Consider the following 17,806-nt stretch of genomic DNA (forward strand, 5'->3'; position numbering starts at 1 on the left):
ATGAAATATTCCAGGCACCAAGAAGGTGCTTATACCAAAAGCTATCGGTCTCCCCCTCTCAGTAACTCCAAGATCCCAAACAGCTATACTTGCTAAATGTGTGTAATGTACACTATTGTGTACCCAAAAACCACTATTTGGGTAGTGGTTACAATAAAAATCCAGACTTCACCACTGTGTAGTATATCCTTGTAGCAAAACTGCACTTGTGCCACTTAAATTTATATAAATAAATAGATAAATAAATATATTCTGAATACCATAACACTTATCTGTATCATAGCCTTCTCATCATATTCTAATCACATGTTTATTCGTCTGTGTTTACAGACAGTGAATTCCTTGAAAACATGGTCCTCGTATTTCTTATCTTTCTGTCCCTTGTACCAAGTGTAAAATAAATGTCCAATGCTTATTGAATGTTCAATGCTTGTTGAATCACTAAATAAATTAAGGACTCCTGACTTCACCCCTGACTAGCTATTTGTCTTGGATTTACTATTTAATCTTGTCCAATCAATGTTTCCTTGCCACTGCATAAGTAGCATGTAGCTCTGCTAGGCATTAGAGGAGTGATAAGGCAAAATGCATGGTTTCCAGAGTATCAGCATGTGTTGGGGATGGCAGACAAGTATGCAAGTAAGTGAGTTCCAGTGTGTCCATATGTAAAAATGAAGATGAGAAAACAACTTCTTGCTACCTCACAGGATGATAGGGGTGTGTAATAAAATAATGAGTGAAAAAATGTATTAGAAGTTACAAAGTATCATTTATATCCAAGTTAATAGCTATGATTTTGTGGAAGTTTTGCTCAGTATTACAACTTTTCTGGATTTGGGATCATTGAATAACATATAGAAACCTTGCTGTAGGTGCTTATAGAGGAGGCTTAGGCTGAAATTTGAGTAACTATTAATATATTTTTATGCTATTGCCTTTTGTACTTAAGACCTTATGTTTATGTGGCTTCAAGAATGGTTTACTTATTCTCTAGTTTTATAACTTTAATAATTCAGTACTTGGAAAGATTAGGGATTGAGGCTTCATTCTCTTACAGTATCATAGTATGCAACCTTTCATGTAAAAATAAGGTGGCATAAATCAATATGCATGTATATGTACATTTGTTCAAAAAGAAATACAGGAAGGTAAACCAGACACTAACAAGATGGATTGCCTGCAGAGAGTGGGTAGGAAAGAATAAGGGAATGGAAATTGGTTGGAAGGAATAAAGGATGAGTGGTACCTCCTTGAGTATATGTCTTTGTAAAGCTTTGACTTTTGAAAGAGTGATAGTATATCACATACCAAATAAATAAATACCAACCAATCAAATAGACAGACAAAATCAACGGAGAATTGGGAAGGAGGTAAACTTTAAGCAGAATACAAACATTAACAAATGAACTAACTCTACAAAAAATAGATGAAATCATTTTACTGAAGGGAGTGGGAAAGTTAAGGACTAACCTAAGTAATACTGGAAAACAGGATTTCGACTACAAATTGCAAAGCTAACAACAAAAATAACTGTACATGGAATTTTACTCTAGTTAATAAGTTTGTTTTCCATAACGTTAGTAATCCTGGAATGACTTTAAATGCATTCTAAGATAGCAAATAAATAAACTTGCTATCAAATCATGGATAATGAAAGCCAGTTTTCTCATTTTTGAAGAAAGGAATCATAATTAAAGGTTGAAGGCTAGAATGAACTGTGTAATGTTGGATTTGAATCAGAGGTATTACAATAAATTAATATATGTATGTGTGTATATATTTATATATGTATATATTATATGCATTATATACAATATATGTATATATTAATATATGTATGTGTGTATATATTTATATACACACATTCATATGCACACACACATAAATCACATTTGTGTATATATACGGTTAAATTGATGTAGATGTGTGTGTGTGCATACTTATTTTTTTTTCATTTTTGTCTGCTGAGAGGGCCTAGAAGTAATAATACTGTAGTACAGCAATTATAATGAGCACACCTAAAGTTTCAAAATAGTTTCTAAATACTATTTTTAAAATAAATAAAAAGGAAAAATGAATTCATTTAAGTACTGGATTATTTCAGTGCTAGTACAGGGAAATGCAAGATAAGCCTGGGACTACTTATGGTGCCAAGAAATAAGAGAATACTCCAAAAATGATGGGGCATGTAAAAAGAATGTAGCAGTTAACCTGAAGAAGCTTTCACTGGTAAATTTTATGACACCATAAGCAACAAAATAAGTACTAATAAAACAGCCTGTGTTGTTTTATATTGATATAAATAAATAAGTAAATGAGGGAGAGTGAAAGCTCTTTTCCTCAGCAGAATTCCAACTTATATATGAAGAAAGATAGATGGACTTCATCACTTAGCAAATACTACAGAAATAGGTGTTGCAGGCAAGATTTATCAATGAAAACTAAAATTAGTGGGTAAAGGTATGATGAGAAACAAGATTTTTGCATGCAAACATATTTATAGAAAGTACCTCCCTATAAGGTACTTATTAAATACATGGGAGAAGATAGTAACTTTACATTGGTAAACCAAGCAGAAACCACTTCAGTCAATGGTGAACTTTAATATGGCCAGCCATGAAATACATGGACATTGTTTACCTTCTAATATGATGCACTAAGAAGAACACAGCATAATTTTTATGATATTCTTGCCAAAAAATGCATTATCCAAATTTAAATATGAAGGAAGAGCAGATGGTAGACATTCTACCAAATAATGGAGCTGTATTCTTCAAATGTCATAGTCATACACAAAAAGTTTATAAAATAAAAATTAAAAAAGTCTGAGGACCTGCCCCAGTTTGGAGAAGACCGAGGAAAAGGGGCACTGAAAAGTAACCTGTAATCCAGGATTAAATCCTGGGTCTGACAAAGGACGCCAGTGGGACAATGGGCAAACGTCACATCAGGTTTGCAGGTTAGTTACTAGAACTGCACCCATGTCCATTTCATAGTTTGATAATTATACCAAGGTTATAAAACATCAGGAAATGCTTGGTGAAAGGTAAACAGAAACATTGTGTACTATTTTTTCTACTTTATCGTAAATTTAATGTTTTCTCAAATTAAAAAGTAAAAATAAAATAAAAGCTTTATTCCTGCAATTAGGTCTGTGATGTTAGAAACAAGGTGGTCACGATATGAGATCTGTTGCCAGAATCCGGAGTATCTTGATATCCTGTATAATTCAGTGGAATTTTCTGTCTGACTTCTTCAGAATCCCAGTGTCAAAAAATTTATATTCAGAATCTTTGGGTAATAAAAATGGCAGAACACCAACCCACACTGTGCCAGGTGCTGTGTTGGGCGCTATATTTACATCTCTGTGTCACTCATTATTTTGCATCATGTCATTTTCCTGTCCTCTACTACATACAATTTTAATTCTGTTTTATAGAAAGAGCAGGTCCAAACCAGTCCAATCCTCTTTCTGAATACGGAGAGCAAACAGCTTAATTGGAAATTGCTGTTTTTCTTCTCCCTAAGATGGTAAAAATCATTTTCCATTTCTTTAGTCAGTTGAGAGTCACTGCCCTCCAGGAAATGAGGAACGTTTCCCTGGACTTTATTTTTTTGTGTGCTATAAAATGATTACAATTTTGTTTCATTTTAGGGTTGAGGTAGGGATGTCAGAGGAGAAATGCATTAGGGCAAGGGAGTAAATAATATACAAACCTATAAGATGCTTTGAAAGATTGCCAGGAATGTGGTGAATAATTGATGATGATCTGATGCATTCGGTTATTTCCTATGAAATGGTCCTTATACCAAAATGAATTGCAAGCTATTTCCTTCTCTTTCACACATACACACACACACACACATGCACACACACATGCGCGCACACACACACGAGTCTATTTCTTGAGCTCCTTTCAAAGTTAACAGACTGATCGTATCGTTGTTCATTCAGAGTGTCCAGAAAGTCAGAGCCATTCACCATCTCTCTTATTCCCAAGCTTTTGTCATAACGTTGGCACACACTGACTTGCATGCAATCTTATGCACCTGGTCCCTCTGCTCCAGGACGGGCTGAACTGCTGCCTCCTGTAGAACTTTCCTGCTCTGACCCGAGCATGATCTGCCCAACAAAACAAATCTGCTCTATCATCAGTACCTACCTGTGAACAGTAGCCCACATGTCTTGACCTGTCATAGAAAGCTTTCTGAGATCTGGCTTCTGACCTCTTTTTCACTGGATGCTACAAAAACCCTTAGTATCGTTCCTTTTTAACTTTTATCTTAAGTTCAGGGGTACAAGTGCAGGTTTGTTACACAGGTAAACTTATGGGGGTTTGCTGTTAAATTGATATTTATTCTCTGCGATTTTATTCCCTGATGTTTCTCGCCACCCTGCCTTTATTCACATAGTCTCTCCACTTGGAATAAATATCCTTTGTCCTCATCTTAACCTGCCAAAATTCTGTCTCTCATGCCCATATAAGTGTGACTTCTTTCTTGAAACCCTCCCCAATTTTTCTAAATGAGAATTCATCATTCCCCTTTGTCTTCACCTTGCAAAGTTTTTTTTCCAGTTATTCTCTTAGTAACCTGCCTCCAGTGTCTTTTGCAGGCAGCTTTCTCTATTCCTTGACTGAAAACATCTCGAAAATAGGGAGGGAATTTGTATTTTAGTGTCTGTTCTGCTTAGAAATGCAGAGGTACAATTCTGAAAGATTGTAAGTGAAAGGTTTAAGAGGAAATGTTGCAATAGAGAGAGAGAGATAGAGATATGTGATACATAGTTTATTGAGATAGAAAATCTTCTATGGAACATAGCATACCACCATGATTCTGGAAAAATTTAAAGTGCTACTCTGTGTATGTTTTTACAGCAATATCTTACAATTTTTTATGTTATTAATTCTTAAAAACCTACTGGGTTTGGCTTTCCTTGTTTTTCTGATGAGAAAATTTGGAGTTGGACCAGGCTCATGGCTGGCTGAAGTCTATCCAGGGGCAGAATGAGGACTTATGACTACACAGATTTAGGTGAAAGTCAGAACCTGGAAAAGAATGCCACAGAAAAGGTGTAGTGGGGAATACACCATAGTGGTCTTAGGCATGTCCTTTGAGTTTTCCAGGCTTTTCTTTCCTGTTTATAGGTCTACAGATAGACTTTCTAAGGATACCTGCACTTAGAAAGGCCTTCTTTTGAGAAGGCCTTAAATATGATGAGCTACGTCCATAGTGGAACATCCGTTTAGTCAGGATAAGAGGCCCCCAAAACCCTGAATTGTTAGAGATTCATTCTTCTTCATTTGTCTTTTTGGTGTTTAGCTTTGTTCATCAAAAGGGTGCTCTGTTTTGTTAGTGGTCAACATATAATCTCTTTTAGCCAGTGTTTCTTCATGCAAGCTGTGGTCACAGGAGAGTCTAGGGCACTGGTTAAGAACATGAACTATGGAGCAAACAACCTGGGTTTATACTTCAGCTTCATCCCAAACTAGCAGTACCTCATGCTCCCAATCTGCAAAATGACAACAGCAATAGTATTTTTAAAGTAATGGCAAAAACTGCTATTACTTTTGCATCACCCTAATACTTATGTCATGGGACTGCTTGAGCATTCATGACACCCCACATGTAAGTCTCTAAGAACAGTGCCTCTCGTAAATGGTAGCTGTTTTTATTCTTATGCCAACCCCTCAGGCTAACTGGGAAGATCAAATGACAACAGTTTGTAAACTTTGAAGTATTATGCTAATGGAAAATAAAGACTTAGTAGAACTAATTTTATTATTATTATTTAAAACTAGGAAAAATGTGCCCTCTTGTTCTAAAATCTCTCTGGGGTCATAAGCTAAGCATCCCAAAGAAATATTTATGCCATTTATAGGAGATAATTTTATTCTCTCTAAGATATTTTCAAGTTAATTTTATAGTAGACTTTCACCAAAATACCTTTTGTTGGAATCAGTTTGTAGACTTGTTTTTTTAAGGACTTCATTTTAAACACCCCCCCTCCCAAAGTTAGAAAAAAATAAGTAAATGTAAACAAATAACACAAGCTACAAATTACAAAAGCCATTTTCAATCTGCAAAGATTTTTAAATAAAAGTAGATATATACTCTCCACAGAAGACTTCTCCCTATAAATTTATATTCAGATAATAACTTTAGGCTGTAAACTCAGGACTCAGTAAGAAAAACTATCTTTTTATTTTGGAAGCACACAGGTGTTAAATAAAATGGATGGATGATACATGCCGTTCCTATCACGTGCAAAGTAACCTGTAAGAGCAGAATATGTTAAACTTTTAAAGCATAACACCTATATATGAATTGAATACATATGTGCAGAAAATAACTTGAGAAATGGTTTAAGGCAGTTTCCAAACTGGTTTATTGTCATCGTTTGCATTAATATCCTATTCTTTGCTTATATTATAAAAAGGGAATTGTTGAGTGGTGGGCACAAGGGAACAGTGGTGGGTACAAAGAGGCTGGCCAATCTAGTACATATAAAATATTGATTTCAACCCAACACTCATGTTTTTGGACAAGTTTCCACTTACAATTAACTATATATAAGGAGCTAGACTGATGTGTATCACTGAAATATTCAAAATACATACAGGGCCAGGCATGGTGACTCACGCCTGTAATCCCAGCACTTTGGGAGGCTGAGGCGAGTGGATCATTTGAGGTCAGGAATTCAAGACCAGTCTGACCAACATGGTGAAACCCCTCTCTACTGAAAACACAAAAAATTAGCTCAGCAGTAGTGGCGTGTGCCTGTAATTCTAGCCACTCCAGAGACTGAGGCAGGAGAATCACTTCAGCCTGGGAGGCAGAGGTTGCAGTGAGCTGAGATTGTGCCACTGCACTCCAGTCTGGGCAACAGAGTGAGACCCTGTCTCAAAAAATAAAATAGATACAGAAATAAATACTGCTGAATCACTTGCTAAAGGTGAAATTATTTCCCCTTGGGGGCACTGGGCAGGAATGGGAGGAATGACGAATGAAAATGACTGTGGAATTCTTCATGAAGTGGAGGTACCTGACTCAGGCCTTAGAAACAAGATTTTTAAATGTAATGACTGCTGGAAAAGAGATGGTAAGTAGAGCTCAGAGCAAAGAGATTACGTAGAAGGTGGCGATTTCAGGAGTATGTTGCAATGACAAAAGGATGAAGACAAGGACTGTGGCTCAGGTCATTGGGATGTCACTGGACATGATTTGTTTAAAGACTAACAAGGGTGAAGCACTGGGAACGGTCAGGTGAAGATCCTTGAATGTTTTTGAGCTGGCTTTGCTCTATCTGTCCTCAAGTCTGTCCATAATCACCTTCCCAAGGAAGCAACTCCCCAAGAATTTTCCACAGATGACTAGTTCCATGTGATGCTATGTAAAAAGAAAAAAAGAAAAAAACACACCAAATTTCCATTTCAAATAAACTTGGAAAAATTGGCATAAGTCAAATTAAACATATTTCATTCTCAAAAAAAATGTTGGTAAAAAGATTAAGGGAGAGGCAGAGAAAAAACAAGGGAAGCAAGAAGGAAGGAACTTGGAGTGGGAAAGAAAGATGGATAGAGGGGCCAGTCTGGGAGCATAACTGAAATGCAGACAGGTGATTAACCAACACTGAAAAACTCTGGAAGTTTCTAAAGGAAGTGGGGCTATTCTGTCTAAGAAAACTGAGGGTAGAAAATAAAGGGAAATATCCTAAATCAAAAGATTGCTTCAGGTTGGCCCTATTATAGATATAGACATACTATAAACCATAGAGTGAGATAGCCTAGAAAATTACTGTTAGACGAGATCTTGGAGGCTTTCTAGTATGAACTTCTTTTCTTCATCTCTCCATATAAACTTGTCCACTCACTTTTTTATGTTGTTTTTAGCAGACAAGGTCCACTTAATCCATTGTGCAGTTCCTTCTTATTTGACCTCTAGGAAGCTCAGAGCTTAATTTAATGTAATACTCAATTGCAGTAACTGTTACCTATTAGGTTTCCATTATATCCATATCTTCCCTTCTTGCAAATATAGCCAGAAAAGCTGCAGTGGCTCAAGGGCTATTCTAGGCTCTGTGAGGGCTACAGCAATGCTTCAAAGAGCTCCAACTGGCAATGAGAAATACATATTTTCCACATTGATTCATTCAATAACTCCTGGAGTTATTGAATGTCCATCATATGCCAGAATCTTTGCCAAGAACACTAACAGATGTAAAGAATAAAAATTAAAGAAATACTCTCTGTTTTCATTATCTTAATAATGTGTTAATGTGCACTTATTGAGAATACATTTTATAAATATGCAAAGTATCTCAAAAATTGGTTACAGCGAGTGTTCAAACAGATATGACATTTTCATTGCAGGTCCTCTGAGATGTTTGTGGTATCGATTCATATATCGATTCATAAAATCTCAGTCATGAAAAGACACAAATCTAAGTTTGTAAGATCTATGTGGGTATAAATGGAAACCCTTTAAAATGTTGGGACTTATCCATTGTAATTTATCTGATTAGTCTTCCTGCCAGATCTTTTTAACCGAATCACATTAGATTTGGGATAATTACCCAAGGACATTTATACTATTTTGAAGGTTAATTCCAACCTCACTCATTCAGCATATGTTTGGAGTGTCCTTGCCTAATGCCAAGTCCTGGGCTAGGCAAAAGGACCTGGAGATTGTTTCTTAGTTTCCTCATTGAGGGATTCTGATTAAGAGCCCTCTGCCAATCACTACTGTAAATATATTATCTAAGTGCTCAGCAGAGAAAATTCATGTCCCAATTTTCTGATTGAGTAACCACCATGACCAATCTCTGGGCAGAGCCACCAGGAAATAACTGCTATTTAGCCTCACATGTCTTTGTTGAGCTTTGTGCCTCCACGATAGGAGGATTATACAAGGAAGTAAAAGATAAATTGACAATACGTAATATAAACACATTCTTTTCAGAATGGAGCAAACTACATGAGATGGGAAACATGGCAAGTGGTTCACAGAAACCAGTGAATAAGATTTAGGATGGGCATTTGACATTCTCTAACAAGTTTTGGTCCTGACTTTTGGCCAAATTAGTCTGTCAACAGCATCTACTTGGTGTCCACAATGTACAGTGGCTTGCATTTGGTACTGAAGATGGAAAAAATAAGAAAAGGTCAGAGACATTTTTAGATACAACTCCAGAGGGCACCATTCACAAAGATTGCAGTATAAATGGCACCCTCTAAAATCGTGCGATCCACAATCTTTACAATGATGTAAACTGAAACTAGGAAATATTTCACACTTCTGTGTTTTTATATATTCATAGGAAGGGCTTAATCAGGTAAAAATAAAAAGCCATGAACAAAAAAAATGTTGATGAGAGAAAATAGGAAATTGTAGAGCTGAGGTTTAGAAGCAAGGACAATGAGTTGAGATTTTTCAGGCTCCAATTCAAATCCAGACTTCAGAGCAACGTTAGGAACCCATGATGAAGACTGATGGGAAAACAGAGCCAATTAGAGGGTGAGACTGAGATTAGAAACTTTTATTTAAGATTTGTCAGTAGAAAGTTGATAGCTGGAAAGATGAGATGGGACAATTTTCTAATGGAAATAGATCATAGAATTAGAATAGACACAAGAGAAATATAGGATTAGACCTTGGCAAACCTCTACTTAAGGAAAAGGATTAAGGTAGGAGAACCTAGAGAAGAAGCTGGAAGCTTGTGCATTCATCCCCAGTGTCACTGGGTGAATCGCAGTGGCATATCACAGACCACAAAGATTGTCAAATCCACAAAGACTCTGCGGATTTCAGAATTGTTGTTTGGCAAAGTCTGGTTTGCCATATAAGGACACAGATTGTCATTTTTCACAAATTCCAACCTTCTGTTTCTCAAGATATGCCTCAAGTGCATTCGTCAATTCCATCAAGGACATTTCCTGGTGGTGAGGAAACTTTAAATCCCACAAATTCTTAAGAATTCTTTTTTTAAATAATAGTAGTATTTAGATAGTAAAAGAGGTTAAATTACCCCATTGTTTTATATTCAGGGGGAGCTGTATTTCATATTCAGGGGGAGACTCAACAAACATCCTCTGAAATTCAATAGATAGGCAGAAATTAACAGACATTCCTTCCATTCTGTGGGTGTTTAATCCATCCCTGACAATGTGACAGTGCTAGAGACTGCAATAAATTGGTGAACAAAGCTGACACAAACCTTTCTTGGAAAATTGATATTCTAACAGGAGAAACACACACATACACAAAAGTAACAATAAAGACAGCAAAGAAGTGCACACATAAAAGTGTTCTGTGAACAGGAGATAAAAGAGGGAATTATAGGGGACCACGATTTAGATAGGGTAGTAATGGAAAGCCATTCTGAGATGATATTTTAGTAGGGACCTCAAAGGTAAGAAAGTGCAACCTCATGAAGAGGCTGAAGAAGGAATATTTTAAGTAAACAGAATGGCATTGGCAAAGGCTTTGAGGGTGGCATAAACTAGACAAGTTTAAGGAGGTGGCTAGAAGAGGAAAAGAGTGGAAAGAATTACCATGGGAGGAGTTGGGAGCTGGGTTATTGCCTCATGTGAAGAACGATTAAGGTAAGCAACAGTGGAGTAGAAATCACCTTTGAATTACTGTCATCACCATCCAGGAGCTGCTGGGCTAAGTTCGTGGCAATCAGTGAGAGAGAGAGAGATGGATGAATCCAATGATAGGCATGAAGACAATTTACAGGGCTTGTTTATGGATCAGTGCATAGAGCCAAAGACGGAAGAATTTTAGGGATGATTCCCAGATTTTTATTTGAGAAACAGGACGGATGATGGAGCCATTTACTAAGAGGAAGATAATGAGGTAGTGCCAAGTTTCGGGAGGAAAATCTAGTTTTATTTTAAATGTGCTAAACTTGAAATATCTGTGAATGATGTAGTCAAAGACAAGAATAGCAAAATTTGAAAGCAAAAAGTAATTCTTTTTCCTGTAGTAAAAAAAAAAATGGATAGGACTCTCAACAAAGTGAACAAAAATGTGTTCAGATCATTTATTTGCTTAAGCTTTTCAATGGCCCTGTTTTTCCTCCTGTCTAAGGATCCTGACACTTGGCTGGGTATTCAAGGCTCTCTGTGGTTTGTCCACAACCACTTCCCCTACTTATCCCACACTGCAACACAACAGACAGTCCCTCATTTTATAAAGTATTCATTTCCAAAATTAGGGAATACCTTTTTCCCTCCTTCTCAGGTACATGTGATCTAAATGGAGTGGTATTATAAGAAAGAAGGGAGTGAAAAACAAAGTATTGTTTTTTCTAATCCATGAATCATTGGTTTATGGACCAAGGCTATTGTATTAAGGCTGATTTTGAAAAGTAAAACATAAATACTTGCTAATCCCCTATTTTTTATTCATTTGTTTCCTTCTCTGCCTCAGCTAACCAGCTCACTGCATTAACTCACTTGGAAAGGGGAAGAATTGGCTACCAAATAAGCCCACTGCTGGATAGGTATGAGTTAAACTCTCAGAACCCTTAGCCCTCAGACCTTCTCTAAGAGGCAGAAATGGGGTTTTTGATGTTAATAGAAATATACTCACTGTGTTTCACTGGGACAATGACCTCGAAAACTCATTGGCTGAATTGCCTATAATATGTTGGGCAGGTACTTGGCACTCTAAGGGGAAGTAATAACAAGGGAGGTGCATTCTTCTTTCTCAGAGAACTTGTAGTATCTGGGAATACAAGGTTGGAAGCTGTCAGTCCCAGGAATAAAGGGCATTTAAATTGTTATCAGAAATAAGATGATGGAGAGAGAACCTTTAGATGAGAATAATATGAAGAGCTTTATGGAAGAGGATCTGTTTGAACTGGGCCTTAAATTATGGATATGATTTCAACAACATGGAAAGAAAGATATTTCAGGAGGAAAGTAGACTGGAACAGAGGCTGGAAGATCAAGTATGTGCTTGTCAAACTAGAAGTAGTTCACTAAGCATGGAAAGTAAAATCTGAAGTAGAAGGTAAGGATGAAAAAAAATTGGTTGAGTCCAGAAGTTAGAAAAACTTGTTGGTTGCTTCTTCCGTATCTAATCCACCAACCTCCACAATTCTGAGCCTGAAAGATTTGATGGGATTAGCTCCACTATCAGTTCTATAGAAGGGGGTCCTGATTAGATTGAATTTATCCTTGTATCCCATTCTCATATTCAAAAGGATTAATCCAGAGATATTAGCTGGTGGGGGGTAAAAGAAGATACTCTTCTATGGGTTTTGAGCAAGCCAACCTCTTTATCTTCAATGCATACTATAGGATATTACTCTCTTTCTCTTGCTGGATGTAGACATGGAAATCTGAAGTTCTAGGACCAGAGGAAAAGTAAATAATAAAAATAATCTGGCACTGAGTAAGCAAGGCTAAAAATTAAAAAGGAGAAGAACTGAGTCCTGACAACATTTTCTTTTGAGCCAGTGGATTAAAGCTTACATGAGAGTATTGCTATTTCTGGACTTTTAAGTTCCATGAGCCAATAAATCCCCATTATGTTTTAAGTCAATTTGACTAGTATTTGCTATTACTTGCCATTCAAAGCATCTTGATACAGAATCCTTGAAAAGTACATTAAACTTTGTTGGCAATAAGAGATCTACTGATATTTGTGTCTCCCAGAGTGCCATAATCTGGAAAGTAATCCTTATGGTAGTGCACAATGCAGAACACCATTAAGTCAGGATAGTCCAAAACAGAGTCCATGAAAGTCAGCCAGTCTTTTAATTTGCGATTAGTCTTATTTTGTTCTCATTCCATGCCTAGTCATTCGACTTCTCTCTTTGTCTCCCAGAAGAGGAAAGGAAGTAATTCTACTTATGTCTTTCCTTGAGAAGAACTACCTCCCTTGGGCTTGGAGCCTGACACTGTTTTTCTCTCTCCCACTGACTCCATAGATGTATTCATTTCTCTTTAGGTATTTAATATAAACCAGATAAGCCACAAACTTATAATAACTTGAGTCAATTTCAATTCTAAGGCAAGTTGAATCTTTAGGGCCAATGCTTCAAGTACAAGATACTGTGATTTCAATGACAATGAAACTGTTTGGGGAATTGCTTTCCCAAACTTTTCTACCAGTGTTTAGATTATAGCATGCAGTCCAGGAGTATATTATGAGTGATCCTCTTGAACTTTGTCAGAAAGTCCTCATAAATCACATTCAAGAAAATATATTTAACTTCCATATACATATATATGAAATTTAAGAACTTGGACAAGTGGAATAAATTCCAAACTGTCAGTTTATAGCAGTAACTTTCTTTTTCAATTTGGAGATTGAAATTTGGGGTGAGAAGGCTCTAATGGAAATAGCATGTTCTCTGAGAAACCAGAGGTGCTGCTTGACTTCTGGAATACTTTATATGGAATGATACCTTATTTTGGAATTTTAGAAAGCCTGAGTTATGGGCCCAGGTATTTGTGGGATTCCACCATATCCCAGCTGCTAAACCTTAGCCTTTTCATCAATGAAATGGGTTTAACATTTCCATTTTATGGTAGACCATAAAAGGAAAATATTCCTGAATAAATAAAATAATATTTACAATTTATTGTGCTGTTACTATGCTTCAGGGGCTGTGTAATAGACATTAGTATTTATCATTTATTTAGCTCTTAATATTTATAAGGTACTAAGTATTCATACTCACCCATTCAAATAATGTAAGTACCAATATTATCATTTTCTAGATAAAAAAGTTGAGGCACAAAAATATGAGGAATTTACCTAAGGTCACACAGGCAAAATATGTGAAAGCAGAGAATCAGAGGGGGGCAGTCTGATTTTTACAGAACCTGTTACTCTTCCTTTTCCTAGTAGCACTGAGAGCTGGGTACTGGGAATATCATTTTATCAGATGAGAAAACTAAGACTCTTTTTGTTTTGTGCTACAATAACAGAATACCGCAGACTGGGCGATTTATGAAGAACAGAAATGTATTTTCTCACAGTTCTGGAGGCTGGCAAGTCTAAGATCAAGGCATCCATATCTGATGAAGGCCTTGTTGCTGTGTCCTCACATGGTAGAAGGCAGAAGGGGAAGAGGGAGATCAATCCTGTGTCTTCACATGGCCGAAGAGAGCGAGAGAGTAAAGCCATTCCTGCAAGCGTTTTTACAGTGGCATTAATCCCTTCATGAGGTGGTATGGTTTGGCTGTGTCCCCACCCAAATCTCATCTTGAATTGTAGCTTGCAGAATCCCATGTGTCATGGAAGGGACCTGGTGGGAGGTAACTGAATTATGGGGGTGGGTTTTTCCCATGCTGTTCTCATGATAGTGAATAAGTCTCATGAGATTTGATGATTTTATAAAAGGCACTTCCCCGCACAAGCTCTCTTGCCTGCTGCCATGTAAGATGTGACTTTGCTCCACTCTGGCCTTTCACCATGATTGTGAGGCCTCCCCAGACATGTGGAACTGTGAGTCCATTAAACCTCTTTTTTTTCTTTTAAATAGATTTCACAGTCTTAGGTATTCCTTCATAGCAGTATGAAAATAGACTAATACATGAGGAAAGAGCATTTATGACCTATACATCTTCCATGAGGCCACATCTCCCAAAACTGCTTCATTGGGGATTAATTTCAACATGAGTTTTGGAAGGCACAAAAATATTCAAACCATAGCTCTTACAGACTATATAGAACTTTCTCAAGTTCACTCAGCTCTTTGGTCACAGTATTTAGACTTAAAACTTAACTCCAACATTCTTTTTATCTTTCAGTTTATGTACTGTGATATTTTCCTTATATACCCACTCTCTTCATTTCAAAATTTTCCATTTTGTGTTTTCTTCAAATTAAATTCTCACCTTCCTCCTTCTGAGCTAGATTTGAGTAGCATACAAGAGGTCAAATAGACAAATTACTGATCACTAGGTGTGTTTTAAACCCATGTTACTTTTAAGGAAACTGCTGGAAGAACTTTATATGAACTCTTGTTATATTGACTCAATTGAATATTAGTTTAAAAAACATAATCTGTAATTTCATTTTGAAGTTTACTATACTTTATATTTTTAAACTACATTCATGACCAGATTGTTGTCTTAAAATCATTAACACATTATTATGTTCCCCTAATGCATGCCATGCTTATTCATTTCAAACTCAAATTTTAATCAGGATTAGGGAGTTTGAGTTCTCATTCTTTATTATTGGTAAGTTTCACAGCCATATATGTAGAAATATTCTGTTGTTTTTTTATGGCCAAGTTTGTAGATTCTTCTAAAATTCTCTTTTCTCTAAGACAGAAAATGTAGAATATTAGAATTTCCAGTTTTTGTATCACTGGCTGCCACCTCAATCAACTTACACAGCCCCATCCCCGTATATATTGTTCAACAGGCAAGATGTTAAGCAATGTAGCATAGTGGTTTGACTACACTAGCTAAATAAAATGTTCTATTATAGAACCACCAAAATGCAAAAAAGAAATTGGCCAGGTTAAAATGAGAACAAGCTATAGAAAGCAATTGAATTCAGAATCATGAGAATTAGAAGGCCTGCTATTATGAAACTCCTCTGCATTAGATGCTCACATTGGCTTATGTTGTAGCTTGCAATGATATTCCAAATCTCTCATCTCCTTTAATTTATATAAGCACTCTGTGAGACAGGTATTCTTTTTTAAATTTTCCAAAAGGGAGGATCAGAGACATGACAAAATTTCCCAAGGTTCTGTAGTTAGAAAGTCATTGGGCTACGATATAAATCCAATTCTGATTCCAGCATCCAAGCACAACTCATTATACTAACTGACATGGATATTATCAGTAGATAAAGGGTTAAAATTCCATAGGCTTTCATTCTGTCATCTCTGGTCTTGGAATCTACTGGGCCCCCAATGAATGACTTTGTTTTTCTCTGTTTTTGTCCCTTTCTATTCTTTTTACAGTTTTCTTGGCCACATTCATAAGAAATGACGCCAATTAAAACTTTGCAAGGCCAAGGCTGGTTAATGTATCACTGACCACAGATTTCCCAGGATTTGGCCAAACTCTGGTTCCTTGATTATTTTTATTCTGCCCCCTCCTGTCTGGAGCCCCTAAGGACCTTCTCTTGCCAGGGCTCTGATCTCTTTGTCATTAGCCTTGGGCTCCATACCTAGAGGGTGGGCATCCTGTTTGTGTCTACAGCTGGGACACCTTCTACATGCTGTTTTTATATGAACACTTTCAAAATACAAAGCCTTTTCATTTTCTTTACTAACCCCGCTTTTTTATCTCCCTTCATTTCCTAGATGGAGGGCTTATCTGTAGGTTCCTCAACTTTCTCTGCCTACAGTTAACATGTCGGGCCTAGAGTGGGCCACAGACTGACATGGCCTTTGCTCTAGCACTCTCACTTAGTTGTGATCTTGTGTTCTGAACTTTTGGTTCTCTGGGTCCCTCTCTAAACTATCTGTTTAGAGAGAAATGGGATTGAATCCAGGTCAGTTTGATGCCACAGCCAGCACACTTTCTACCACCTCATGCTGGCATTTAAGCTGGGATTTGAAATCCCAGTGACCTGAAGATTTCTGGTTGATTCCCAATATTCATCCTGCTCAGATTCTTTTTAGCAAAGACAGACATTTTAGAGCAATAGTTAGAATGTCTGTTTTTGTTCCCAGTGTCAATGAACTGGACCAGTTTTCACAGTCCTCTTCTCAGTAATGTTGAGCTACACTTTGCAGCTGAGCACATTATCACCCACCTATAAGCTCATTTTTGCCATCCTCTTTCTTTTTCTGTAACTAAGTGTTATCATGCCACGATGTTCTGGCAAAAGAGATATAACCTGATGTAGTGTATATGGGGTACTTATCCCTAAAAGAGAAGCTGTGTACCCATCCTAACCTATTTTTTCTTTCTGATGCTTGGAACAGTGTTTTAAAGGTTGCCACTGTGCAGCCATTTTGGTCCATGAGGTTGAGGTACATACCCCAGGAATGATGGAATAGAGAAGTAAAACCTCCTATGTCACTGATCTAAACAGACTCATCATACTAAATTCATACCTCCATCCCACAGTGTGCTTCATAATGAAGACAGCTGATCATCTATCTTCTTTTAAAGCATTGTTATTTATTTCCCTTGTATACAACAGAAACCAATCCCAACTAATATAGATTGAGAGCTCATTAAAGAGAAGAACAGAGAGAGTTAGATGTTGATAAAGTGAAGGAAATTGACATGAATAGAGGCAATCTAATGTAGCTGTTGTAGGTTATATGTGGGTGAGAGAAAATATTTCAAAAGCTTAGATTCTTGCAGCATTATCTGGTATCTCTGTATTTAAACAACTTAATTATAATATTCTCCTAGTCCATCTAGTCCTCTGTGAAAGCATAAGGTCTGTGATCAAACCCTTGAATTTCCGCTTGCTACCTATTTGACATTGGATGAGTCCATTTATCTCTCAAAGCTTTATTTGTATACAAATAAAAGAGTGTGAGGTATCAAGTGTTTATCATAGTAATGGAACAGAGACGGCACTCAAGTAGTAGGAATTCCCATGGGTTCAGACATTCCCTACAGTTCCAGGAACTTCATTGCTGGCTTGCCTTAAAGGAGCTGACTGTATTCTGCTAAGAAAATCTCTCCCTTACTCCTGCCCCGTTCCCTTCCCTATTTGGATATATAGAGAGATAAGTTTCAATGATTTTGCAAAGATTCCATTAGCATTAAATGGAGTACACATGACCCAGGAGAATTGAAACTGTCAGTGGAAATATCTAAGTGGAAATGTTCCTGTCCATGAAGCTGTTGCTTTA

At 36.9% G+C, this 17,806-nt stretch overlaps 1 long non-coding RNA gene across 2 annotated transcripts in view; it reads left to right on the plus strand.

The window, feature by feature from the left end:
- The window catches only part of LOC105376234 (uncharacterized), an 83,492-nt gene that overhangs the window by 4,976 nt on the left and 60,710 nt on the right, over positions 1 to 17,806 (plus strand). Inside the window, exon 3 of one of the 2 annotated variants that reach the window (XR_930268.2) lies at positions 11,437 to 11,509. The exons of the other annotated variant lie outside the window; for it this stretch is intronic. This is a non-coding gene — a long non-coding RNA (uncharacterized LOC105376234). Of the gene's footprint in view, positions 1 to 11,436; positions 11,510 to 17,806 lie in introns of those variants that run through there. 2 annotated transcript variants of the gene reach the window in all.

This window comes from Homo sapiens, chromosome 9 (genome assembly GCF_000001405.40).
Source record: "Homo sapiens chromosome 9, GRCh38.p14 Primary Assembly".
Taxonomy (NCBI): Eukaryota; Metazoa; Chordata; class Mammalia; order Primates; family Hominidae; genus Homo; species Homo sapiens.